The 25922-nt window shown below is 35.1% G+C and overlaps 1 protein-coding gene across 14 annotated transcripts in view; it reads left to right on the plus strand.

Moving 5' to 3' along the window:
- The window catches only part of PCDH11X (protocadherin 11 X-linked), an 843856-nt gene that overhangs the window by 516748 nt on the left and 301186 nt on the right, over positions 1-25922 (plus strand). The window contains exon 4 of one of the 14 annotated variants that reach the window (XM_017029421.2): positions 19862-23998. The exons of the other annotated variants lie outside the window; for them this stretch is intronic. Coding sequence (XP_016884910.1) covers positions 19862-19978 — 117 coding nt within the window. The 3' untranslated portion in view covers positions 19979-23998. Of the gene's footprint in view, positions 1-19861; positions 23999-25922 lie in introns of those variants that run through there. 14 annotated transcript variants of the gene reach the window in all.

Consider the following 25922-nt stretch of genomic DNA (forward strand, 5'->3'; position numbering starts at 1 on the left):
TTGATTTGCTATATGATAGATTTTCCTATGGTGAATCAGTCTTGGATCCCTGGAATAAATCCCACTTGATTATGGTGTATAATTATTTTTGTACATTGCTGAATTTGGTTCACTAGGTTTTTTTTCTAAACTTTTATCTTAGGTTTTGGTATTCATGTGCAGGTTTGTTATACAGATAAATTGCATGTGACAGGAGTTAAATATACAGATTATTTTATCACCCAGGTAGTAAGCATGGTACCTGACAGGTAGTTTGTTGGTCCTGACCCTCCCCCGACCCACCACCCTCAAGTAGGTACCGATGGCTGTTGTCCCCTTCTTTGTGTTCTTGTGTACTCAATATTTAGCTCCCACTTATAAGTGAGAACATGTGGTATCTGGTTTTCTGTTCCTGTGTTAGCTTGCTTAGGACAATGGCGTCCAGCTCCATCCATGTTGCTGCAAAAGACATGATCTTGTTCTTTTTTATGGCTGCATAGTATTCCATGATACCTATGTACCACATTGTTTTAATCCAGTATACTATTGATGGGTGTTTAGGTAGTTCCATGTATTTGTTACTGTGACTAGTGCAGCAATGAACATCCATGTGCATGTGTCTTTATGGTAGAATGATTTATATTCCTTGGGACTATACCCAATAATGGGATTGCTGGGTTGAATGGTAATTCTGTTTTAAGTTCTTTGAGAAATTGCCATTGCTTTCCACAATGGCTGAACAAATTTGCATTCCATCCATCAGTGCATAAGCATTCTGTTTTTTCCACACCCTCACCAGTATCTGTTATTTTACAACTTTTTAATAATAGACATTCTGACTAGTGTGAGATGGTATCTTATTGTTGTTTTGATTTGCATTTTTCTAATGATTAGTGATGTTGAACATTTTTTCACATATATATTCCTTGCAGATTATGGATATTAGACCTTTGTTGGATGCATTGTTTGCAAATATTTTCTCCCATTCTGTAGGTGGCCTGTTTACTCTGTTCATAGTTTCTTTTGCTATGCAGAAGCTCTTTAGTTTAATTAGATATCATTTGCCAATTATTTTTTTGTCATAATTGCTTTTGATTTCTCTGTTATAAAATCTTTGCCAGGTCCTATGTCCAGAATGGTCTTTCCTGGGTTATCTTCCAGTGTTTTTGTACTTTTAGGTTTTATATTTAGGTCTTTATTCCATCTGGAGTTGATTTTTGTATATGGTGTTAGAAAGGGGTCCAGTTTCAATCTTCTGCATATGGCTAGCCAGTTATCCCAGCACTATTTATTGAATAGAGAGTCCTTTCCACATTGCTTGTTTTTGTCGACTTTGTCAATGATCAGATGGTTGTAGGTATGCGGCTTTATTTCTGGGCTTTCTAATCCATTGCAGTGGTCAATGTGCTTGTTTTTGTACCAGTTCCACCCTATCTTGGTTACTGTGTAGCCTTGTAATATAGTTTGAAGTCGGGTAATGTGATGCATCCAGCTTTTTTCGTTTTGCCTAGGATTGCTTTGACTATTAGGGCTTTTTGGTGCCATATGAATTTTAAAATAGCTTTTCTAATTCTGTGAGGAATGTCTTTGTTAGTTTGATGGAAATAGTATTGAGTCTGTAAATTGCTTTGGGCACTATGTTTGTTTTAACAATATTGATTCTTCCTATCCATTAGCATGGAATGCTTTTCCATTTGTTTGTGTCATCTCTAATTTCTCTGAGCACTGTTTTGCAATTCTTGTTATAGAGGTTTTTCACCTTCCCGGTTAGATGTTTCCCCAGATATTGTTCTCTTTTTGTGGCTATTGTGACTGGAATTGCATTCTTTATTTGGCTCCCAGCTTGGATGTCATTGGTGTATAGGAATGCTACCAATTTTTGTACATTGATTTTGTATCCTGAAACTTTGCTTAAGTTGTTTATCAGATCAAGGAGCTTTTTGACAGAGACTATGGAGTTTTCTAGGTATAGAATCATATCACCTGCAAACAAGGACAGTTTGACTTGCTGTCATCCTATTTGGATGCCTTTTATTTCTTTCTCTTGTCTGATTGCTCTGTCCAGGATTTCCAGCACTGTTTTGAATAGCAGTGGTGAGAGAGAGAGCATTATTGTCTTGTTCCAATTTTCAAGGCAATGCATCCAGCTTTTGCTCATTCAGTATGATGTTGGCTGCGGATTTGTCATAGATGACTCATAGTTTTGAAGCAGGCTCCTTCAATGCCTAGTTTGGTGAGTGTTTCTAACATGAAGGGAAGTTTAATTTTATCAAAATCCCCTTCTGTATCTTTTGAGATACAAATGAGAATTTTATTTTCGGTTCTGTTTCTGTGACAGATCACATTTATTGGTTTGCATTTGTCGAAACAAACTTGTATCCCAGGAATAAAGTCTATTTGATCATGGTGATTAACTTTTTTATGTGCTGCTGAATTCAGTTTGCTAGTATTTTGTTGAGAATTTTTGCATCTACTTTCATCAAGTATATTTGCATGAAGTTTTCTTTTTTTGTTGTGTCTCTGCCAGGTTTTGGTATCAGGATGATATTGGCCTCGTAGAATGAGTTAGGGAAGAGTCCCTTTTTCTCCATATTATAGAATAATTTCAGTAGGAATGTTCCCAGACCAAACTGAGGTTCGGGCTGCTATTTCTTGTGGCCCAATAACAAGATGCAGATGAACTAGGGGGGAAGAGAGTTTTTATTTCTGTAACCAGTTACAGGGACAAGGCCTGAAAAATATTGCCGGACCAACTCAAAATTACAGTCTTTCAGAGCTTATATACCTTCTAAGCTATGTGTCTACATCTAAGTGTGCATTCATTTAAAGACATAAGTGATTAACTTCTTTTAATCTATAACTAAGATCTGAGTCCTGAAGACCTTCCTCTGGAGCCTCAGTAAATTTACTTAACTTAGATGGGTCTAGCTGCTGGGGTGATTACCCTTATCTCGTCTCCTGCTAAATCATGGAGGTTTGGGGAGTTCCTTTAGTCCCCAATAAAGCTTGTTTGTGGAGGCCTGCGGAGTTTCTCCATACTCCCAATAAAACTTATTTAATCCTAAACAGGTCCTGTTAAGAATTCCGTCATTATCTTGTCATGCTTTAAGGCCCAGGAAAGGCCTAGGCAAAACTGTTGGTGGGCTTTTGTTACATTCCATCCTGAGTGGTTATTAAAAGCTGATAGGTAAAGCTTTATCGGCTTTTAATAACCACTCAGTCAGTACTGAAACAGTTGTTAGGGAGGTCTGTGTTAGTGAGACCTGGCCTGCCACAGGAATGGTACTAGCTCCTCTTTACATATCTGGTAGAAACTCACTGTGAATCTGTCTGGTTCTGGGCTTTTTCTGGTTGGAAGGCTATTTATTACTGATTCAATTTTGGACCTCATTTTGTATTTGTTCAGGGATCCAATTTCTTCCTGGTTTAGTCTTGAGAGGTTGTATGTGTCAAACAAGTTATCCATTTCTTTCAGGTTTTTTAGTTTGTGTGCATACATACACATGTTCATAATAGTCTCTGCGGGTTTTTGTATTTCTTTGGGGTCAGTGGTAATGTCCTCTTTGAAATTTCCGATTGTGTTTATCTAAATTTTCTCTTTTTTTCTTTATCTAGCTAGCAGTCTATCTGTCTTATTAATTTTTTTCAAAGAACCAACTCCTGCATTCATTAATGTTTTTTATGGTTTTTAGCATCTCAATTTCTTTCAGTTCAGCTCTGATTTTGGATATTTCTTTTCTGATAGCTTTGTGGTTGGTTTGCTCTAGTTTCTCTAGCTCCTCTAGTTGTGATGTTAGGTTGTTAAATTGAGATCTTTCTAAGTTTCTGATGTGGGTGTTTAGTGCTATAAACTTCCCTCTTAACACTGTTTTAGTTGTGTCCCAGAGATTCTAATATATTATATCTTTGTTCTCATTAGTTTCAAATAATTTCTTGATTTCTGCCTTAATTTCATTGTTTACTCCAAAGTCATTCAGGAGCAAGTTGTTTAACTTCATGTAATTATATGGCTTTGAATGATTTTCTTAGTATTAATTTTTATTTTTATTGCACTGTGGTCCGAGAGTGTGGTTTGTGTGATTTTTTAAAATTTGCTGAGGAATGTTTTATGTCTGATCGTGTTGTCAATTTTGAGTATGTGCCATGTGCATGTATAAATATATACACCTACTATGTACCTACAAAAATTAAAAATTAAAAATAGATTCATCGCTGGGATACTACTGTGTTAATTTAGATGTAAGAAGACACTCTGGCTTTTTGAGTTGCCAGAGTGCTTGTGCTGTTTCTTTCTCATATGTGTGGGCTGATTTTTCTTCAATCCTTTCCTTCAAGAAGTTGCTATTCTTTGTTTTGTTGTTGTTGTTGTTGTTATTGTTGGTTTGTTTGTTTGTTTTTCGGAGTCTTGCACTGTCACCCGGGCTGGAATGCAATGACACGATCTCGGCTCACTGCAACCTCCGCCTCCTGGATTCAAGTGATTCTCCTGCCTCAGCCTCCCGAGTAGCTGGGATTACAGGTGCCTGCCACCATGCCCAGGTAATTTTTTGTATTTTTAGTAGAGACGGGGTTTCACTATGTTGGCCAGGCCGGTCTCTAACTCCTAACATCGTGATCCACCTGCTTCAGCCTCCCAGAGTGCTGGGAATACAGGCATGAGCCACTGTGCCCAGCGAGGAATTTTCATTATTATGATTATTTGCTTTTTCTTTTCTTTGACATCCTTGGGGGTTTGGTCATTGTATAAGGTGGGTTCAGTTTACTGGCTTCATTTCTGGTACGTTTTGGTGCAGGCAAGGCTCAGCTCAGCACTCCTGGGCTGTGTGGTCTAACTCTGGAGGGCTGCTGTTGGGCAATGGCACAGTAGGGTGTATGTGCACCCTTGTGCCAGCAAGTGAAGGAAAGGCAAAGTCTACTTGCCTATGTGTGTGCCAGCAAAACAATGAGAGTGTGGCTGTGGGCAAGTGCTTGCTGGCAAAGAGACATAAGGGAGGCTGCAGTGGGGAGAGGGTGCAGTTGGGCTGGTGCCAGTAGGCCAGGGCCACGATGTTGGAGCTCTCCGACAGTCAGGTGTGGTCTTCCTGTGCAGGAGCTATGATGCGGGATCCTGCAGGCACCCCATTTGAGTATTGGAGGCTAAACTGCAAGTAGGCGTGGCCAGGGTGGGGACCCAGGAGAGGTTAGCAGACAGGAGGCGCTCAGGGTGGACTGACTGGTCTCCTGGGCAAGATTGTTCTGCTGTGTTCTGGTTTGACAGTTTCCCTAAGTCTAGAGTGTCCTGAGGAGCATGGCGAGCCTTGGGGAATGGGCGTCCCTGGCAGTACTTGGCTGCAGATGTTCCCACACCAAACCTTCTGGGCTCCACATAGGCTGGAATTCTGCCCAGCCTTAAAAATCTTTAAGCAGTTCTCGCTGCTACCTCAAGTGCCCATGGGGATCATGGGGTCTCCTGCTACCAGGATTCCAGATGTCCGTGGCGAAAGTGAATCACTCCTCACATGTTCAATGCATCCCTTTCCTAGGAGTCTGGGTTCACTTTTTTGTTTTTTGTTTTGTTTTGTTTTGTTTTGTTTTGTTTTGTTTTGAGAATCTGTGTGTTTACATTCCAGATATTATTCTGCAGCTTCCTTTTCTTGTGTTGTCTTTGCCTGGTTCTGGTGTCAGGAAATCATGGCCTCGTACAATGAATTAGAAAGTATTCCCTGACTCTTCTATTTTTTAAGGGGAGAATTTGTGAAGAATTGGTGTTAATTATCCTTTAAACGTTTGGTAGAATTCAACAGTGAAACTACCTGGTCCTGAACTGGCCGACTTCTCTGTGTGTGATTCTCCTGCTTTAGGAGCTGAGTGCTTAGTGGAGGTAACAAAGTGGTCAGTGGTAGTAGCTTCAGCCATTCTTTGGCCATGAAACTACTGCATTACAAGTGAAGGCAAGGCAGATTGGGACCCTAGTATTCTTCGTTGTATCTTTTCCAAGGTAGAACCTCCATCACTTGAATGGGGGCTGGGTAGAAAAGAAAGCCCTCACCTCTCAGCTGCATTTACCTGAAACTTAGCCTCGACAACAGGAAGTTAGGGGCAGGGTAAGAAATTCTGACCTTATGATCCCCTAAGAAAGATAGCACTCCCACTGGGAGTCAGGTAAAAGGGAATGTTGTGTTCTTGGCTGCTCTCATGTGTAACGGAGTTGTAGTCTTGCTGACCTGGGAGGAGAAAGGAAGGCACAGGTCTTCATACGAATACCACAGACTCTCGCTCTTTTTGTAGAATTTTAGTAGATTTTCTTGAACAAGTATATCTTCATTTGCTAGATGCTCTAAGATCATTTTCTGACGCTTTAAATGGCTGTTTTTAAATTAATATTTACCAGTTTTGCAAGGGATTACATCCATGGAACTCCTCAGATGTCATGCTGGAAGTCAGTTTTTACACTATGATTTGAATATAAAAGAATATAAAATCAGAGTTTATTGGCTAGGACAGTTGTTTTTTTATAGCCTGGAGCTTAGTGTGTGAGACTTCCACAGATTGTGAAGGGGCTTGTATGTCACACTGGGAAATTTTAAAATTATCCTTTAAGAAATGCAGCACCCATGTACTATCTAAGAATCTGAGTGATATGACCAGATTTGGGGTTTTAAAGAATAGTTCCAGAAGCTGTATGGAAGGGAAATTCAACTAAGCTAAGCCCAGATATTAAATGATTCAAGACCTTAAAACATGACTTGAAGAGTAAGAATAGATAGAGAATGAATTCAAGGGAAATATAAGAGATAGAAAGTTGAGAAATTATTGATTGGATATAGATATTGACTAGCAGAAAAGTAAAAATTTGATAATGGAACAATATTTTGTAGCTAATGTCTGATTTCAATGCTAGTGGAATACATAAGGAGAGAAACAAACTCGAAGCAGAATGTAATTACTATGGTTTTGAAGATATTGTTTTGATGTGGCTGTAGGACATCCTGTTGAAGATGCTTAGCAGGCAGCTAGAAGTATGGCTCTTGAGGTATGAGAGCATTTGAACTTGGAGATAGAAAGGTGAGAGGCATGATAAAATATGCAATATTTGAAGTCACTGGAACAGATATTACCCAAGAAGATCACATAGAAGAGGAAGAAGATAACAGCTCCATGGGTGAAATTCTGTCACAATATACTTTCAATGATATGATTGGAAGAAGAGAAGCCAGAAAATTCTACTGGAAGAAGATAACAAAACTGAATAGAGTAAGATAACAGCATTGCAGAACAATTGCCTGACAGAGTTTCAAGAAGGAAAGTATGGTCAGCCTTTCTATACCAAATTCGAAAATTCAGTGGGTTTTTATATCTCCTTCTCTAAGATGATTATTCATGTAGGGTCCTAGAGAACCTCCAACTGAGGTAAATATAAATAAGAGGAACATTCTTGACAGGAAGTATGTCCATATAATTTAAAGAAACACTATCTGACAAAAAACTGCTTATATATAATGTAAAGAAACACTATCTGACAAAAACTGTGAATATATTTGCATCTGTTTGCCACCTGCAACTATGTGTTTAAATGTTTCTCAGGCTCCCAGATGTTTAGGAAGCGATATCTGTCAAACATATGAAATTGAACATCCCATTCTCATTTTAAAAATATCATTTTACATAGTAATTTTCATACTAAGACACTGCATTTCCTTCCCATGAAGAGTACAACTAACGCTAATGGTTGAATTACAGTCCAAGACAGTATGTTGTAATGCCATTTATAACTGGTGCTCTACAATCATACCTCACAAGATAAACAGTTCTTAAATGAGTTCAGATGTTTACTACAATGCAACACGAGTTTTAAATGACTAAGTTGAGATATTTTATTTTGGAAGAATAAGAACTCTTAGTTACCAGTGGAGTGGGAAATTCTGTCAACAATAATGCTTAGAGAAGACAAACAAGTAGAATATTTAAAGATAAATCAAAAGAACACTGTTTTATTCCTGTGTTATGTTTAGGTTATGTCTCCCAAGGGTCATCTAGGTTGTCAACCTATGTGGATGGTATTAATCAGATACCTGAAAAATTCTTCCCTTATGTTTCCTAATTTAGCTATAAACTTAATGTTAACCAAAATAAATAAATTTTATTTTTATTGAAGGCTTTTACTCTATTCATTTAGTGAATACAGCTACCTGCCTTTGATGTAAGATATAAAAATGGTTATCTTGCCATCGTTGAAGACTTTCAAATCTACAGTCTGAAGCAAAGCAGAAACTGATTCAGATTTACCAGAACTTATAAAATTGACAAAAAGCTACACAGATATATCAGTTTTATTTTTAACTGACATGTATTTATGACATTGTACAAGAACCACTCAATGATATAAATATGCTGCCTATGATATCCATATCTGTGTTAGATATGGTCTTTTATGACTGGTATAATTCAAAGTAAAATAGACAATATTGTATAAGAAAAACACTAGTCTTAGGATAATATATTGTTGGAGCTGGGGGAATCCTTAGGGAATATCTAGCTTGCCTTCCCACTCTTATTCTTCAGAGGATGAAAATGAGATTCAGGGACATTAAGTAATATTCCCTGGCTCAGAAAATATCTTATTGTCTAAAACTAGGTTGCCATCCTTATGTTCTAAACTCTTTCTAGCCTATCCAATATTCTTTCCACTGTACTACACTACTCTTTATGTTAAAAATCATAATAAACTTTGCTCGAAGAGCAGTAAAATAAAACTGTTACTTTGACTGATTCCTCTAGTGAATTTGAGATGAAAATATGATGATATTGAATTGAAATAAACTTAGAAAAATGACAGCTTCCCAGCCCTCTTAAGTTAGCCATGATTGCAATGAATATAATCTTGCAGCCATTTTTTTTTTGCTGTATCCCAAGAGATAATCTAGGAAATTGGAATATTTGAAAGCAATCTGTTACACTCACATCTGTCTACCCACAGCCAATTGAATACAATTTTTCTTGTTGATTTACTATATTTTACTAAGACTGCACTTAGCACCAGATTATGTCAGATATTCAGAAAAACTTCCTAACAAAATTCTAAAATTATTGATAGTCATGCCACACATAGACACAGCCTAAAAGCTGTTGTACTAGTCTACAAGGACTGCCATAACAGTTATGAGAATTACCACATATGGGTAACAAAGTTACCACAGATGGGGTAACTTAAATGATAGGAATTTATTTTCTTCCTGTTTCAGAAAGTGCAAGACAAGATCAAGGTGCCATTAAGTTTGGTTTCTGGTGAGGCCTTTCTTCCTGGCTTGCTGATGTCCACCGTCTTGCTGTGTGCTCACATGGCCTCTTCTCTGTGTGCATGCAGAGTGAGAGATATCTGGTGTCTCTTCCTCAGTCGTATCGAATTTGGACTTCCTCTTCTTATAAAGACACCAGTCCTATCAAATTAGGACCCCACCTTTATGATTCCATTTAACCTTAATTACCTTCCTAAAGGCCCTATTTGCAAGTCACATTGGGGGTTGGGGCTTCAAAGTATGAATTTGGGTTGGGGGGATCTATTCAGTTTATAACACCTGTTAAGCATATACATTTGATGTTACTTCATCACATCTTTTCACAAACTTTTAAAGTGGAATCTACCTAGAGGAAGCTGGCATATGCATATGTGTTACGAATACAGTAAATTATGATTGAATGACAGAGGTACATTCAAACTAGCCACCACCCTTACATTTCTTACTATTTTGCTGCACTTATCCAGAGCAAAATTTAACTAACATAAAAGAATAAACATCTTTTTTCTCTGAAAACTGTTGAACCAAATGTACAATGGGTGACAATGGCAGTGAACAGGTTTTGTGTTTTTTTAAAAAATAGGAGAATACACATTTTTCTCAAGTACACTTAGAACACTCTCCAGAATTGACCATATGACAGCCATAAAACAAGTCAATAATCTTAAATGGCTAAAATTATACAAAGTATCCTTTTCAATCACAATTGAATGAAACTAGAAATCAACGATAGAAGGAAAATCCAAAATATGTGGAAATTTCTTAAACAACCAATAGGTCAAGGAAGAAGTTGCAAGGGAAAATATAAAATATCTTGAAACAAATAAAAATAAAACAATTTACCAAAACTTGTAGGATGCATTGAAAGCAGGAAAATTTATAGCTATAAACAATTACATTAAAAAGAAAAATAATCTCAAATCAACAACCTAGCTTTACATCATAAAGAATTAGAGAAAGAACAAACTAAACCCAAAGTGAACAGAAGGAAAGAAATAATAAAGACTAGAGCAGAAGTAAGTAAAATAGAGAATAGAAAAACAATAGAGACTATCCATGAGATTAAGAATTGTTTCTTTAAAAAGATCAACAAAATTGACAAGAATTTCACTAAATTTATGAAGAAAAAAAAGAAAAGACTAATATTTAATTAATATCAGAAATGAAAGATGAGAAATATCAAGAATGAAAGAGAGAGATAGGAAGGAACCAAATAGCACTATAATTGTAAAGAGATTGAATCAGTAATAATAATAATAATTAAAAAAAAAAAAACAACTCTTGACCAGGCGCCGTGGTTCACACCTGTAATCCCAGCACTTTGGGAGGCCAAGGTGGGCAGATCACAAGGTCAGGAGTTCAAGACCAGCCTGGCCACCATGGTGAAACCCCGTCTCTACTAAAAATACACACACACACACAAATTAGCCGAGCGTGGTCGTGCGTGCCTGTAATCCCAGCTACTCTGGAGGCTAAGGCAGTAGAATTGCTTAAACCTGGAAGGTGGAGGTTGCAGTGAGCCAAGATCGTGCCACTGCACTCCAGCCTGGGCAACAGAGCAAGAATCCATTGGGAGGGGAAGGGGAACAAAAAATAAAAAACTCTTAACAAAGAAAAGCTCAGGACCAGATGTGTTTACTGGTGAATTCTACAAAACATTTAAAGAAAAGTTAACATCAATCCCCTTCAAATTCTTCCAAAAAATTATAGAAAAGGAAATACTTACCAACTCATTCTGTAAGGTCAGTGTGATCCTGATACCAAAGTCAGAAAAAGACACTGAGGAAAGAAAACTACAGACCAATACTGCTGATGAATATTGATGAAAAGTTCTCAACAAACATTAGCAAACCAAATTCAGCCACATATTTAAGGGATTATATACCATGACCCAGTGAGATTTATTTCTGGAATACAAGGATGTTTCAGTGTATTAAAATCAAACAATGTAATACACTACATTAACAGAATGAAGGAAAAAAATTATCATCTCAATGTACAAAAAACACTTTCAAAATTCAACATCCCCTTTTATGATAAAAAATAAGCAACAACCTAGAATAGAAGGAAATTATCTCAACATAATAAAAACTACATATAAAAAACCCACAGCTAACATAATATGAAAGTCTGTAAGCTTTACCTCTAAGATCAGGAACAGGAATAGGGTGTCTGCTATCATTCCTTCTATTTAACATTGTAATGGAATGGATTTGAAAGAAAGACATTAAGTTGTCTTATATGCATTATGGCCTGATTTTGTAAATACAAAACCCTAAAGATTCTACAAAAACATTCTTAGAACTAAAAATGTGTTAAATCATTTTCTCCATTTGCATGAAGGTCTCATGGCAATCATAACAATTATTTAAGTGCCTCAAGTTGTGAAAGTTCTACAAAATTCTTAGAACTAAAAATCAGTGTAATACATTACAAGTAAAGTTGGAGGACATAAAATTAACATAATTAGTTATATTTCTATACATTAAAAATGAGCACACAAAAATATTTGAGAAAGCAATACCATTTAAAATATCCTCAAACAGATTAAAATACTGAGGAATAAATTTAACTGAGGAGGTGAACGACTTGTAGACTATAAACTACAAAATATTGCTGAAAGAAATTAGACACCAATAAATGGAAAGATATACTGTGTTTATGAACTGAGTGACTTAGTGTTATTAAGAAGTCAATACCCCCCAAAGCTGTCTACATATTCAGTGCAACCCCTATCAATCCCAATAATACTTTTTGCAAAACTAGAAAAATACATCCTAAGAATGATATGGAATCTCAAGGGACCTTGAATAGCTAATACAGTCTTAAAAAAGAACGAAGTGGGAGGCCTAACACTTTCTGATTTCATAACTTACTACAAAGCCATAGTGATCAAAACAGTGTGGGTGCTGGTATGAATACAGGTATATAGACCGATGGAATAGAATAGAAATCCCAGTAATAAACTATCATGTATATGGTTAAATGATTTTCGCCAAGAGTACCAAGACTTTTGAATAGGGAAAAGACAGTCTATTTAACAAGTGGTGTTAGAAATCTGGATATGCACATGCAAAATAATGAAGTGAGACTCTTACCTTATGCCATATACAAAAATTAATTCAAAATGAATCAATGACCTTAACCATAAGGGGTAATATATAAAAATGTTAGAAGAAAACATAGGGGAAAAGCTTCATTACATTAGATTTGATAATGATTTCTTGGATATGGAATCAAAAGCACAGGTAACAAAAATAATACATTAAAATTAAACAAACACTTTTGTGCATCAAAGGACACTGTCGACAGGGTGAAAAAGCAACCCACAGAATTAGAGAAAGTATTTGCAAACCATATATCTCATAAGGAGTTGATATCCAGAATAGCTAAAGTATTCCTACAACAACAACAACAAAACTAAACACTCAGATTAAGAAATGGACAAAGGACTTGAATAAGTTCTCCAAAGATAATATATAAATTGCTAATAAGCATATTAAGAGATATTCAATATCACTAATTATTAGAAAAATACAAATTAAAACCACAACAAGAAACCACTTCTCACCGATTCGAAAGGCTATTACTAAAAAAAGAAAAGGAAATACCAAGTGTTGGTGAAGATGTGGAGATAATGGAAGCCTTGTGCATTGTTGGTTGGAATGTAAAATAGTGCAGCTGTTGTGAAACTGAGATAATGAATGGTTCTTCAAGTAATTAAACAGAACTGACATATGATCCAACACATCCACTTCTGGGTATAAATGCTACAGAATTGAAAGCAGCATCTTGAACAGATATTTGTATATCCATATTTATAGCAACATTTTCATAACAGCAAAGAGATGGAAGAAATATATGTGTCTATTGATGGATAAACAGATAAGCAAAGTGTGGTATATACATATACAGTAGAATATCAGTCAGCTTTAAAAAATGAGGGAAATTCTGCAATATGCTACAACATGAATGAACCCTGAAATCATTATGCTAAGTGAATTAAACCATTCACAAAAGGACGAATACTGGATGATTCCACGTTGTCCACCTAAAGAGGTGCCTAGATTAGTCATATTCCTAGAAATAGAAAGTAAGATGGTTGTTGCCAGGGGCTGGAGGGAAGGAAAGAGTGAGGAATTATTGTTTAATGGCTTTGGGGGTTTTGTTTGGAAAGATAAAAATTCTGGAGATGGATGGTGATGACAGTTTCACAACAATGTGCATGTACTTAATGCTACTGAAGTGTACACTTAAAATGGGTTAAAATTGTAAATTTTATGTTATATTTTTTCACAATGAAAGAAACAAATTTACAACAAAACAAACTCAGACCTGTAACTTCTACCAATTCTAAAATTAAATGGGATTTTCCCTCCACTGAGGAAACAAAGGAAATCACTTTCTAGTGGTGCATCTCTCACTGCCGGAGACATTTCCCCCAAGCCAGTGATAGCAGGGACAAGAGACAACTACCTGTATAGCAGTAATTTTCTATTTAATACTGATCTAGATTTGCTGTATGCTGCTTTTCAAACATCTCTTCCTTGTTGGTATAGAATGACACTTTTACAATTGCATTATTAATTTTTTAAGGAAAAGAAAAGTTTGGTTCAATTTCCAGATACTCTAGTTTCTATTTCCTTCAGTTTAACCATCGTTCTTGTTTTCTTACTCGGGTTTTTTTGCTCTGTTTTTCACCACCTGCTTCACTCTGTTGCTGTTTTTGTTATGCCTTTGTTTCCTATGTACTACTCTCTTCAACTTTCCTTTATTACCTGATTCTAAACAATTTTCTCCACCGTGTCCGGTATTCGCTCATGTTTTGCTTTTCTGTTCTGGTTGAAATGCAGACCAGTAAAGAGATCAGGCTGAAAATTTATGTTTAATTAAATTTGGGAATAGAACTTTTAATTTTGTCAACATCACCGCATTCTAAAATCTTTTTCTTTTGGAAACATGTGCCCCTACTTAGTCTTCTTTGTGTTAACATCATGTTTTTTCTAAATGGTAATTTACTTGTTTATTTATTGTATTTTATTTTATTTTTGAGATGGAGTTTTGCTCTGTTGCCCAGGCTCGACTCACTGCAACCTCAGCCTCCCAGGTTCAATTGATTCTCCTGCCTTATCCTCCTAAGTAGCTGGGATTACAGGTGCCCCCCACCACATTGGGCTAATTTTTATATTTTTAGTAGAGATGGGGTTTCACCATGTTAGCCAGTCTGGTCTCGAACTCCTGACCTCAAGTGATCTGCAAGCCTTGACCTCCCAAAGTGCTGGGATTACAGGCTTGAGCCACCCCACTGGCCTCTAAATGGTAATTTTAAAATATTTATTCCATTCATTCTCAGGTATGAGTGAAAAGCAAAAATGATGAGGATAAGTGTTATCTCCTCAAGAGCATATGAACTCTCTTCCAGTAAAACACTTTTACAAAATTTTGAGAAATAGTTAAAATGTAGATTTCGTTTTCGTAAATGTAGCGCATTGTAGATTTTATTTGTAAGTCCTAGTTCACCTGAAACTCTGAGTAAAATAACCTGAGCAGTTTGATATATAATAAGACATTAGATCAATGAGTTAGTCAAATAATGAATTTCTCAGGCTTTGAGTTTTCCGAGTAACCCAAATGATTTTATGTACAGTGACTTTGACCTCAACTAAATTTCCAGTTTATCTAATTTCTATTAGATGAGAAACGGATGGAGAATAACTTTGATATATAAAACATTTAAGAACAATAGAAATGTAAAATGAGGATGATACCAATCGTTCGATGATTTATAAAGTAGGAAATAATGCATAAAACTCACCTCATACATAAAAGACACTCAGTTATGGTAGACTGTTTTCTGCTTTCAAGTCAGTTTTATTTTTCACCTTGAATCCATTTTGACATAGAGTCAGCCTTATAAAACTGGAAGTGTTCTGCACTAGTTAATTGTCAGTGTTAGATTCTAAGTGGTAAATATTTGCTTTTAATATTTCTTCTCTTTTTTATGATAACTTTGTAATCTTAGTTGATGTGCCATCACCACAGGTAATTATTATTTGTATATTTAGTTCTTCAAATAAAAGAGAGAAAAAAGCCCCCCAAAACCCAAGTAGTCAAATATATCAGATTGACATTGTTCAGTTAAAATGAGAAGCCACCACATTTGGCAATTGAAAGTTAATTCTCAAAGAATGAAATATAATTAAATGTTTGCTTGAGAAGCCACCACATTTGGCAATTGAAAGTTAATTCTCAAAGAATGAAATATAATTAAATGTTTGCTTTTTTTTTTTCCACAGTAGCTCACAGGACTTATCTTCCCTCACTACTAGTGCTTACTTCATGTACTCCAGAAAGTAAGCAATTACAGTGTGTGTGCTACAAATTTGTCCGTGATATTCAGTTTTATAATTTTAACATGGGACATTCTATGATTTTATATTAAATGGAAATAAAAAGATACTGTCCTTTTTCCTCTTTGTTTATTACAATACAGATAAAATGGAATATATGATAAGGAAGCAGTAGGATATTAAGTTTTTTTAATAGAAGAGGATAGTTTCTATGACTTTTTAGAAAAGAAAAGAAACATTAGTTACTATTTTTGAGAGAATAGGGTAAGAAAAAGATGATCTTTTGAAAATTAAGTATATGTATTCTGTAGAGTAAATAAGCATTGTTAGATACACTGTTGGTTTAAAATTATTTAGCATAACCAAATTTGGCATCATTGCAGTGCCAAAGAATGCCCTGGCCAGACGTGTCTATGCATTGACTTTTTCCATTGGTGGTAATGAAACTGTTCCATGATAAATTAATTTTTCTATTTTATTTTTCTTTCACAAAACATAGTTGATTACCTTTTAAAAATGATACAGTGGAATAATTATAGCCTTTAGATAACTTGTAGGGCAAAATAGGAAATTTGAGAGACACTTAATATCACTGTAAAATAAGTTCAAGGAGGGATTTAGTATGTAGTATGAAAAAAATTTATTAGCATATGTGTTCCTTATTTAATTAAATAGATTTATTTCGGTGCCACATTCTTTCAAATTTATCAAAATGTAATAATACGATTTTTATATTAACTTACATGTTAAAGTAAGAGATTGGTTCCCGTGGGAAAAAGGTTTTGACTAATGTACTACTCAGATTAATAATATCACTGACGTAAATACTCCATTATTTTCATAAATATTACTACACAAGAACACATGCAAAAAGGACAAGTACCTATCTAAAATTGTTTTCCAATTGTAGAAATGGCAAGCATTTACTAAAACCTTAGAAATTTGAATGCGTTTTTATTTTTACCAGCCACAAATCATTTTTACAGTTTTAAATTTATATTCAAGTGAATGCTGTTTGAAAAGTGTCATTTTCCACTGTTTCAACTTACTATTTTATTTTCGATCATTTTCCCTACTAGCACGAGTTCTTTTTTTAAACTATGTACCCTGAATGAGAAGAATTAACCAGGATACACGGAAGGCCTAAAATAACTAACTCCTGTTCAGGAATAGAGGCTTGCCCAGTGTGTTTTGGGGTCATGTAGACACTTAGTCTAGTACCTGAAACTATTAATAATAATTTAATTGCTTGATTTCCCTGATGCTCTTATTTCCTATAAAATAGTCTCTTCATTAATGGCTAGATTATTATGTATTAACAATTGCCCATGTTTTCCTAGTAACAGGAGCTTTTTCATTAGTCCTAATCTGAGAAGAGCAAAGCAGTCTCAGTGACAATAGTAAAAAGCAGGGATAAAGATGACATTTCTTCAGTCTGTAATTCCACAAAATGTGTACATTTTTTTTTTCTGTAAGAAAGAAGGCAGCTAACTTTTATTAAGTCCCCACTATGTAACAGGGACATTGCAATGTACTATACCTGAAGGTAGGTATTTTTAACTTTGTCTGCAGATGATAACACAGAGCCTTAGAGAAAATAGGTAACTGGGCAAAAGTCACACAGTTAGTCAATGACTGATAGAGAAGACAAACCTACATCTGGCCAAATACCTATACTCTTTCCATCATTATACACTTCCTTCACATTAAAGAAAAGATACAATTTGTTTCTTGTGGTCCTTACATTTGAATATCTTCTATGTAATTTTTTCTTGAACAAATTATAACTGTAAAATTTTCATGTAAATTGTACTGACACACGCCCAGTAGTGTTTGTTGTGCAGGTTTATTAAGTACAGTCATGTGTCATTTAATGATGGAGATACTTTCTGAGCAACGCATTGTTAGGTGATTTCCTTGTTATGAGAACATCATAGAATGTCCTTACACAAATCTGGAAGGTATAGCTTACTACACACCTAAGCTGTATTATATAGCCTAATGTTCTTTGGTTACAAATCTGTACAGCATGTTAATGTATATATTTGTAACCTGTAGACACATATAATATGATGGTAAGTATTTATATATCTAAGCCTAGAAAAAGTACAGTAAAAATACGGTATAAAAAGGAAGAAATGGTACACTCATATAGGGCAATTACCATGAATGAGCTTGCAGGCCTGGAAGTTGCTCTGGGTGAGTGAGTGATGAACGAATGTGAAGGCCTAGGACACTACTGTACACTACTGTAGACTTTATCAACACTGTACACTTAGGATACACTAAATCGAAGGAAGTCTATTTTTCTTTCTTCAATAATAAATGAACCTTAGCCTATTGTAAATTTTTTACTTTATACATTTTGTAATTTTTAAATATTTTGAACTCTTTTGTAATAACACTTAGTTTAAAACACAAAGATATCGTACAGGGGCACAAAAATATTTTATTTCTTTTTATTCTCATTCTATAGACTTTTTCTGTTTTTAACATTTTGATTTTTTAAACTGTTTTGTTAAAAAATAAAACACAAACACATATGTTCAGCTAGGCCTACACCCAGTCAGGATCATCAATATCACATCTTGTCTCACTGGAAGATCTTCAGAGGCAATAGTATGCATGAAGCTGTCATCTCTTATGATAACAATGCCGTCTTCTGAAACACCTCCTGAAGGACATGCCTGAGACTCTTCTACAACTAATTTCTTTTCCAAAGTAGGAGTACACTCTAAAATAATGATAAAAATTGTAATATAGTAAATACATAAACTAGTAACATAATTGTTAATTATTATTATCAAGTCTTATGTACTGTACATAATTGTATATGCTATGCTTTTATATGACTGGCAGTGCAATAGGTTTGTTGACACCAGCATCACCACAAACACGAGTAATGCATTGCACTACAACATTATGATGGCTACGAAGTCACTAGGCAGTAAGAATTTTTCAGCTCCATTATAATCTTATGGAACCACAGTCATATATGTAATCTGTCGCTGACCAAAACATTGAGCGGCACAGGGCTGCATATCAACATAGAGCACTGGATTGTTTTTTGCAAGTTTTGTGGGATATCTAAAACATTGATATACAGGATCAAGGTTAATAACATAAATAGGTCAGTAAGATTGTTTTCTAGTCTGTGAAGATTTAAAAGTACAATGTTTGAAGACCAGATGAAGTTAATATTACTATGCAAGCCTCTACAGGTTTGGATTTCAATATGTTTAAATTTGAACGCTTAACAATATGTTATGATTTGAGTTTCCATTTCATTTATTTCCCTTTCAAGTTCTAGCATGAATTTTAAGAATCTTCATCAATGTCCCTGTGAAGTAAATGCCACAAGAAAAGTGCAATCAATATGTGCACCTCCCAGAGGGCCCTAAGCAAGTTGAAACACTAAACAACTTTCAAATCTTTAAACTTTTACAGATGCTCATAGACGCACTGTAATATTAGCCACATACTCTATGTCTTATTAAGATATTCTGTAACATGTGCTATTTACTCCTGCCAGATCTATATAGCATAAAGTGCACTGGAGGATTGGCATCTATCCATTAAATTTTAATCAACACAGAGACAGTTTAGATATTTAAAACCTTCTTTTATTTACAGCTGGTTTTTAAAATTATTGTTGTTTCTTTTGTTTGCTAGCTAGATTGCTTGCTTGCTTATTTATTGACTGGAGCCATGTGAATAATTTTGGAAGTCCCATCTCACTTCTCTGGCCTCAGAAAAGTGACCTTAAACCATAACATCCTTGATAGAAATGATAGAAATGATCAAATTATTTAAGTTTTTTTTGTTTTGGAGACAGAATCTCACTCCTTCACCCAAGCTGGAGTGCAGTGATCCAATCACAGCTTACCATAGCCTTGATCTCCTGTGCTCAAACGATCCTCAACATCATCCTCTTGAATAGCTGAGACTACAGGTGTATGCCATGATGCTGGGCTGATTTCTGTATTTTATGTAGAGATGGGGTCCCACCATGTTGCCCAGGCTGGTCCTGAACTCTTGGGCTCAAGGGATCTGCCCTCCTTGGCCTCCCAAAGTGCTGGGATTACAGGGGTGAGCCACCACCCCTGGCCTGAATTATTTAATCTTAGAGCATTGTTCTTCACTTATTGCGGCTGTATGTTTTTAACTGAAACCATATGAAGAGTTGGGAAATTACTCAATTAATACAAGTATAATGACCAAAACAAGAATATATTTCATTTTTATATTTTTATTCAGATGGACTTGGCAAATGAATTCAACATGAATATTACATTAATAGAACAAATTATCAGTGCTCTTCTGAAGTCAAGGCAAGTATTCAACCCCATATGCTTTAACCATCACATTTTCTGAACAATCTTTGTGCCGGCAATTGTGCTAGATGTACAATTGTGCTAGAAGCAGGTCATGGTGGCTTGCTTTAGGTGAACTCACAGTTTAGTGTAGGAGAAAGGCAAATAAATTATACATTATAAAACAATATATTTAATGTTTTGCCTAGAATTTGCCAAATGCTAGGCAAATAATATTGTAGAAATAACTGTCTGGGAAAACCGTGAAAGCATAAAATCGCATAAGATGCTGAGAAATGTAGTGATCTCTCTAAACAGACCAGTGAATGCTGCATTTGATTTATTAAACAGTTCGTCAAAACTTATTTTTCAAAAGGAGTTCCCCAATTAGCATCTTCTTTATATCCAAGATGATATAAAATATGATGTATTATTTATCTCTTCTTAAAATAATTGGACACTTTTTTCATAAAAGACATTATCTGTGATTATTTATCCAATAATTAATTCAGTTTAGAAATTTAATTAAACATTAGGAATTTTTAGTGTCATTTTGAAAGACCCTATTATGAAATTATGAAAACAGTAAGGTCAGGAAATGTTTTCTGTTATTGACCTTATGTTATTTGTTTATTTAATTTAGAACTCTTTACAAATAACTTACTGGGGTCAAAACTGCTCTGACACTGGTATCAGAAACACTTTTGAGAAAAGTGAATTTACTTTGTATTTCAAGTTCAAAGGGATTTAGATTTGGTAGATTTTGGAAACTTCTCGCCCTGCATCTGCTAAAAACCAAGCAACTTCCTTTCTGAATTTTTAATCTCATAATGCCCCTGTAGTCATTAAAGAACCAATGCATGATAGACATTTATTCACTGTGCCTTTCTACATTGAAAAGCTGAATTAAGGTCTCCAGAGCCAAAATGGAATTAAAATATTTATGTCTTAAAGACAGCCAAACACGTACTTTCAAAAAAAATTGCGGTCAAGGGGGAAAAAAACAGAAAGTAATTTGTAAAACTGTTCGTTTTTAAACTTTGGAGTTAGAGAGTGGAAATATGATGCGGACAAGAGTGAAGAAATGTTAACTAAAAAGAATGTGTTATAGCTTGTGAAATTGTCCCCTCCCACCCCCCCATCCCTGCTTGGAGTAACATTTGCATTCAATTTGAATGAAGACATACTGATAGACCAAAATAGTTTGATTTGTCTTTAGAGAGTCCTTCTTCATCCTCTCTTTATCTATAATATGTGTTTCCACATTCCTTCTCCAAATTTCTTCATTATTCTACCAGTTTCTTTAAGGAGTCCCAAAACTGTAGGCTAGACAAATATGAACCTTTCTGTTTGTTAAAATAATGCTTCTTTGAATAATTATTTTTAATCTCTTTCTCTATCTTTCTCTCTTTTTGTAATGCTGCTTCTCAATGCACATTGTATTTTAAAATCAGTACAGAGTCATAAACTTGACAACAATTGTTGATAATACTTTCCAGTGGTACGTACAATATCTCAACTATTTCTCAGTTGGAATGATTGGGTACAAATGTGGGGAATAAATCTATAGCATATTTTGAACCAAGATTTAAAATTCATAGCAAATCTAAGCAGTTCTAACAGATTTTTTTCGGTCATTAATATTTAAGTGTAAAAAGCAATTTAGTGTAATAGACAAGCTCACAGATTTGGAGTTATACATACTTGAGGTTAGATCCTGGATATCACATTTATTAACTGTTTGAAATTTAGCAAGTTACATAACTTCTCTAAAACTCAATTTACCAAACTAGAAATGAGAAGAATAATAATTACCTTCTCAGATTACTGTTAGCATTCAGTATAATGTTAGACTTAAAAGACCTCAACATACAGTAATTTTTATTAAATGTTAGTTATTGTTATTAGTAGTACTGATAGTAGAAGTAGTAACAATAGTAGTAGTAATAGTAATGTAATATCTAAAAATGTAAGATTATCATTTACTTATTTTTGTTGTTTCTTAGCTTCTTTTATCTTTAATTGTATAATATTCTAATGCCATATTTATTTGTTCCTAAAAAAAATTTAAGTCAAATCAAATTTGCACCACAATTACCATGGAAAAAATACCTCTTTGAATAAATTCATTCTATCAAAATACACTATCTGGATGAAAGTGTTTTCCTTATATTTTTATTGCCTACCTACATTTCAAAATTACTCTGTTTTTATCCTCTGATTTGGGATTTGCCACATTCCTGAGACTTCCATATTTTGTAGCTAAACTTGATTTTTGCCATGCTTTTCTACAGTGTCAACCAGAAAAGTCTTGCCTGTACAATCCAGCAATCAAAACTCACTTGCAAACACAAAGACAAAAATAGAAATAGTCAGTAGGAAGCAGTTTTTCCCTCAAATTTTTTCTCTCTGTGATTGCACAGCAAAGCTCAGACTTTTTTTTTGAAATACAGATACTGGGTAGTTGAGATTTGTGATTAAAAAAAATACAGGCCACAACTGCATAAACCCTTTGTTTCTCTTATGAGATATTTTTTACTCTTGCACTGGTGTGAGGTCAGTGCTTGACATCATCTCCATGGATGTAGGACAGCACCATTATTATTTCAAAGCACCTTAGCCTGGGAATAGATTTGTTTCATGTCTGATTACATAAAATCTCAATAACTGTTTCACTGTCTTTCTAATCATAGGAAAATTGGCTTGTCTAGAACAAAATTAAAAGAATACCATCCAAGGTAAAGGCAAACAATTCTGTAATTGTCACTTTTGTATCAATCTTACTGATCAATTAGTTAGAGGACTGGGAAGCTGTTAACATCCTTAAAAACCATAAAGGAAATCCATAGTCATTTAGCGATTTCACCAGCATTATAACATGAAAAAGTCTTATTTGTTTAAACTAACTATGACTGTCTTTATATAGCAACTTTTTCTCACAGAATAAAGTACGTATTGTTACTTTATTCAAATAATGTAAATTCTCTCTAAAAATAGTCCAATTTTGCAAGCATTTTGCAAGCAGCCTCATTGCTATATGGGCACAACTGTAAAGTAAACCAAAAGATTTCATTCTCTATCAAAACGTTTTGTGAAAGTAATTAGATATCTTAGATAACCACCTGGATTTTCTTTCCTTTTGTTCATGTTTGGTGAACTTTAAGCAGGGATCCTGATTATCTTTATCTTGAGAGTGGGTAGTGGAATTCATCTTCCTCTATCAATTGGTCATTTATTATATATGTGTGTCCACAGTATATGTCTTGAGACTGTCTTGCAAAATTATTAATTTAATTTTTGATTTTTCAAGATAAACAAAGATCGATACAGGAATACTTTGAACTTAAGGTTTTAGACATTCAGTAAGAGAACAAAAGATAAAATTAAATAATTTGGATTGAATTCTAATACCTGGTCTTCTACTTAATGGGAATGAGACCACGGCCGTAGAATTAAAAGTCTTATATGCCTTCATTGTTTCTTTTTTTGCTTTAATTTTTAGTAGAGACAGGGTCTCACTATGTTGTCCAGGCTGGTCTCAAACTCCTAGGCTTAAGTGATCCTCCGCTTTGGTCCCCCAGATTGCTGGGATTACAGGTGTGAGCCACTGCATCCAGCCTGCCTTCATTATCTTCTATGTGAAATGCAGATAAGCACACCTAACTCAGATAGGATTATCAGGAGAGTGAAATGAGATTTTATATATATAAAGTGCTTACACGTGGCCTGGCATTTCATGAGTACTTGATAGACAGAGCTGCTATTATTATCATCAATGATAAATTAAAATTTATAAATGTAAAATAATACTGATAAGTAGATCAAGATCTTTTCAGTTTGTTTGCTAGTGGACACAGAATTTTCTTTAACATATCACCATTCATTTATAACACTGCTAATCTTACACAGTTTCCTTTATCATTTTGCTGAGCATCATGGTATAATTCTAATCAATGTTCATGTATGTTCAGTAAGTTAATTAAAGCTTCCATGCCCAACCAAAATGCTACCACAGTTAATGGGTTTGGGGTTGATTACCAGAATCCTATATGATATGATATTCTTCTACACATTGAAACAAAGACAATAACATCTCATTCTACCTTGTCTCATACTGCTCAGATTTGTGTACAGTACACAAATGGAGCATGTGTCTGTGGCAATCGGCTAGTGAGAAAAATAAAATATATTAGCAATCATTATAGTAGACAAAAGTTCTAGCTCACATGCCTCTGAGTTTTTCATCTGTTAATAGAATCCTGCTGAAATGTGTATTACCTGTCTCTGCTCCTGTTCTGGAATTTTAGTATAGAAAGGAAGTAGGCAGATCTAACAAATGGACAATGATCTCATGATCTCTCTCTCTCTCTTTCTTTCTCTCTCTCTCTCTCTGTCACACACACACACAAACACATACTTTTTTTCAACTAAATCAATAATATGAAGGATATATGATCCATAAATCACTAGGATTACTGTTACCACTAGCAAATAAATAGTGTCTAAATACAGTTCTAAAAAGTTATTATGATTCATTGCACATAATGAATTATAACAATATTTGAAGATACTGGAATGAAAGGACAAATTTTCCTTACAATCTTGTATACTCACGTTAATTAAAGAACCCACACAATTTATAAATTTAGAAAAGGAGAGGAAGATTTATTTTTATAAGGGGTTACAGCCTGTAAGGGGTCCATCCTGCAGGCTGAGAAGCGTGCCTCCTGCAAAGACCAGAGACAGGCACTTTAAAGAAGAGGGATTGGGGTAGGAGCGTTATGCTGAACAGATTGGCTAAACATACATATTCAACAGGTTACAGGAGGAGCTATGAATATTTATGAAGATCCTGACACATCTATTGAACAAACATGCATGTAACATATGACCCATGTTCACTTTGGGGCGAAGACCTTAACATTTTAATGTATTACAATTGGGACCTACACATGAAAGGGGCTTTTCTGGACATGAAGACATAGAAGCTTACAGCCTCTGTAAAGTTGCCAGAATCAGTCTGTGGTTAGTGGGCTTCTTATCAGGAGAAAGTCCTGAAATCAGTTGTCTTGTACAATCAAAGCTATAGTTATGGCTTGTGGAACAGGAGGTCGGTTAGTCAGTATCTGTGAGCTGAACTGTAAGTTTTTTTTTGTTTTTTTTTTTTTTTTGAGATGGAGTCTCGCTCTGTCGCCCAGGCTGGAGTGCAGTGGCGCAATCTCGGCTCACTGCGAGCTCCGCCACCCTGGTTCACGCCATTCTCCTGCCTCAGCCTCCCGAGTAGCTGGAACTACAGGCGCCTGCCACCATGCCCAGCTAATTTTTTTTTTGTATTTTTAGTAGAGACGGGGTTTCACCATGTTAGCCAGGATGGTCTCAATCTCCTGACCTTGTGATCCACCTGCCTTGGCCTCCCAAAGTGCTGGGATTACAGGCGTGAGCCACCGCGCCCGGCCGTGTAATTGTTTTAATATTGCTTATCTCATGGCCAGTGCTTGTTTAGCTGCTAGAGAAAAATAAAAACCTTGTGGAAGGTTAAAACATAATTTATTCTTTAAGTTTAAGAGTCTTAATTAACCCTTGCCTGCTAAGGCCTTAGATCCTATGGATAATTTGGTATCTTATTACCACAAAGAGTCTCTTCTGTCATCTTATGATCTCAATTTTAACATTAATGCTGGTCAATTGCGTCTACACCCCAAAAGGAAGGAAGTATAATGAGGAGTGACTGACTTCCCATCTCATCATGCCTGAGGACTGTTTTTAAGTTGTTTTTCTGGGGTACCCTTGGCCAAGAGAAGGTCCATTCATTCAGTGGTAATGCTTAACATTTTATTTTTAGTTTATATTAATTTCTCAACCATTATGTTTTCTTGTTTTGATTTTTGACTATATTACATGCAGCTTTCACATAAGTGCACGTAGAGCATACAAAATATTTTCTATTTTTAAAGCTTTTCCAGCAGAAACGTATATACTTTGCTGGTATACAGCCTTTTAAATTA

Source organism: Homo sapiens, chromosome X (genome assembly GCF_000001405.40).
Source record: "Homo sapiens chromosome X, GRCh38.p14 Primary Assembly".
Classification (NCBI taxonomy): domain Eukaryota; kingdom Metazoa; phylum Chordata; class Mammalia; order Primates; family Hominidae; genus Homo; species Homo sapiens.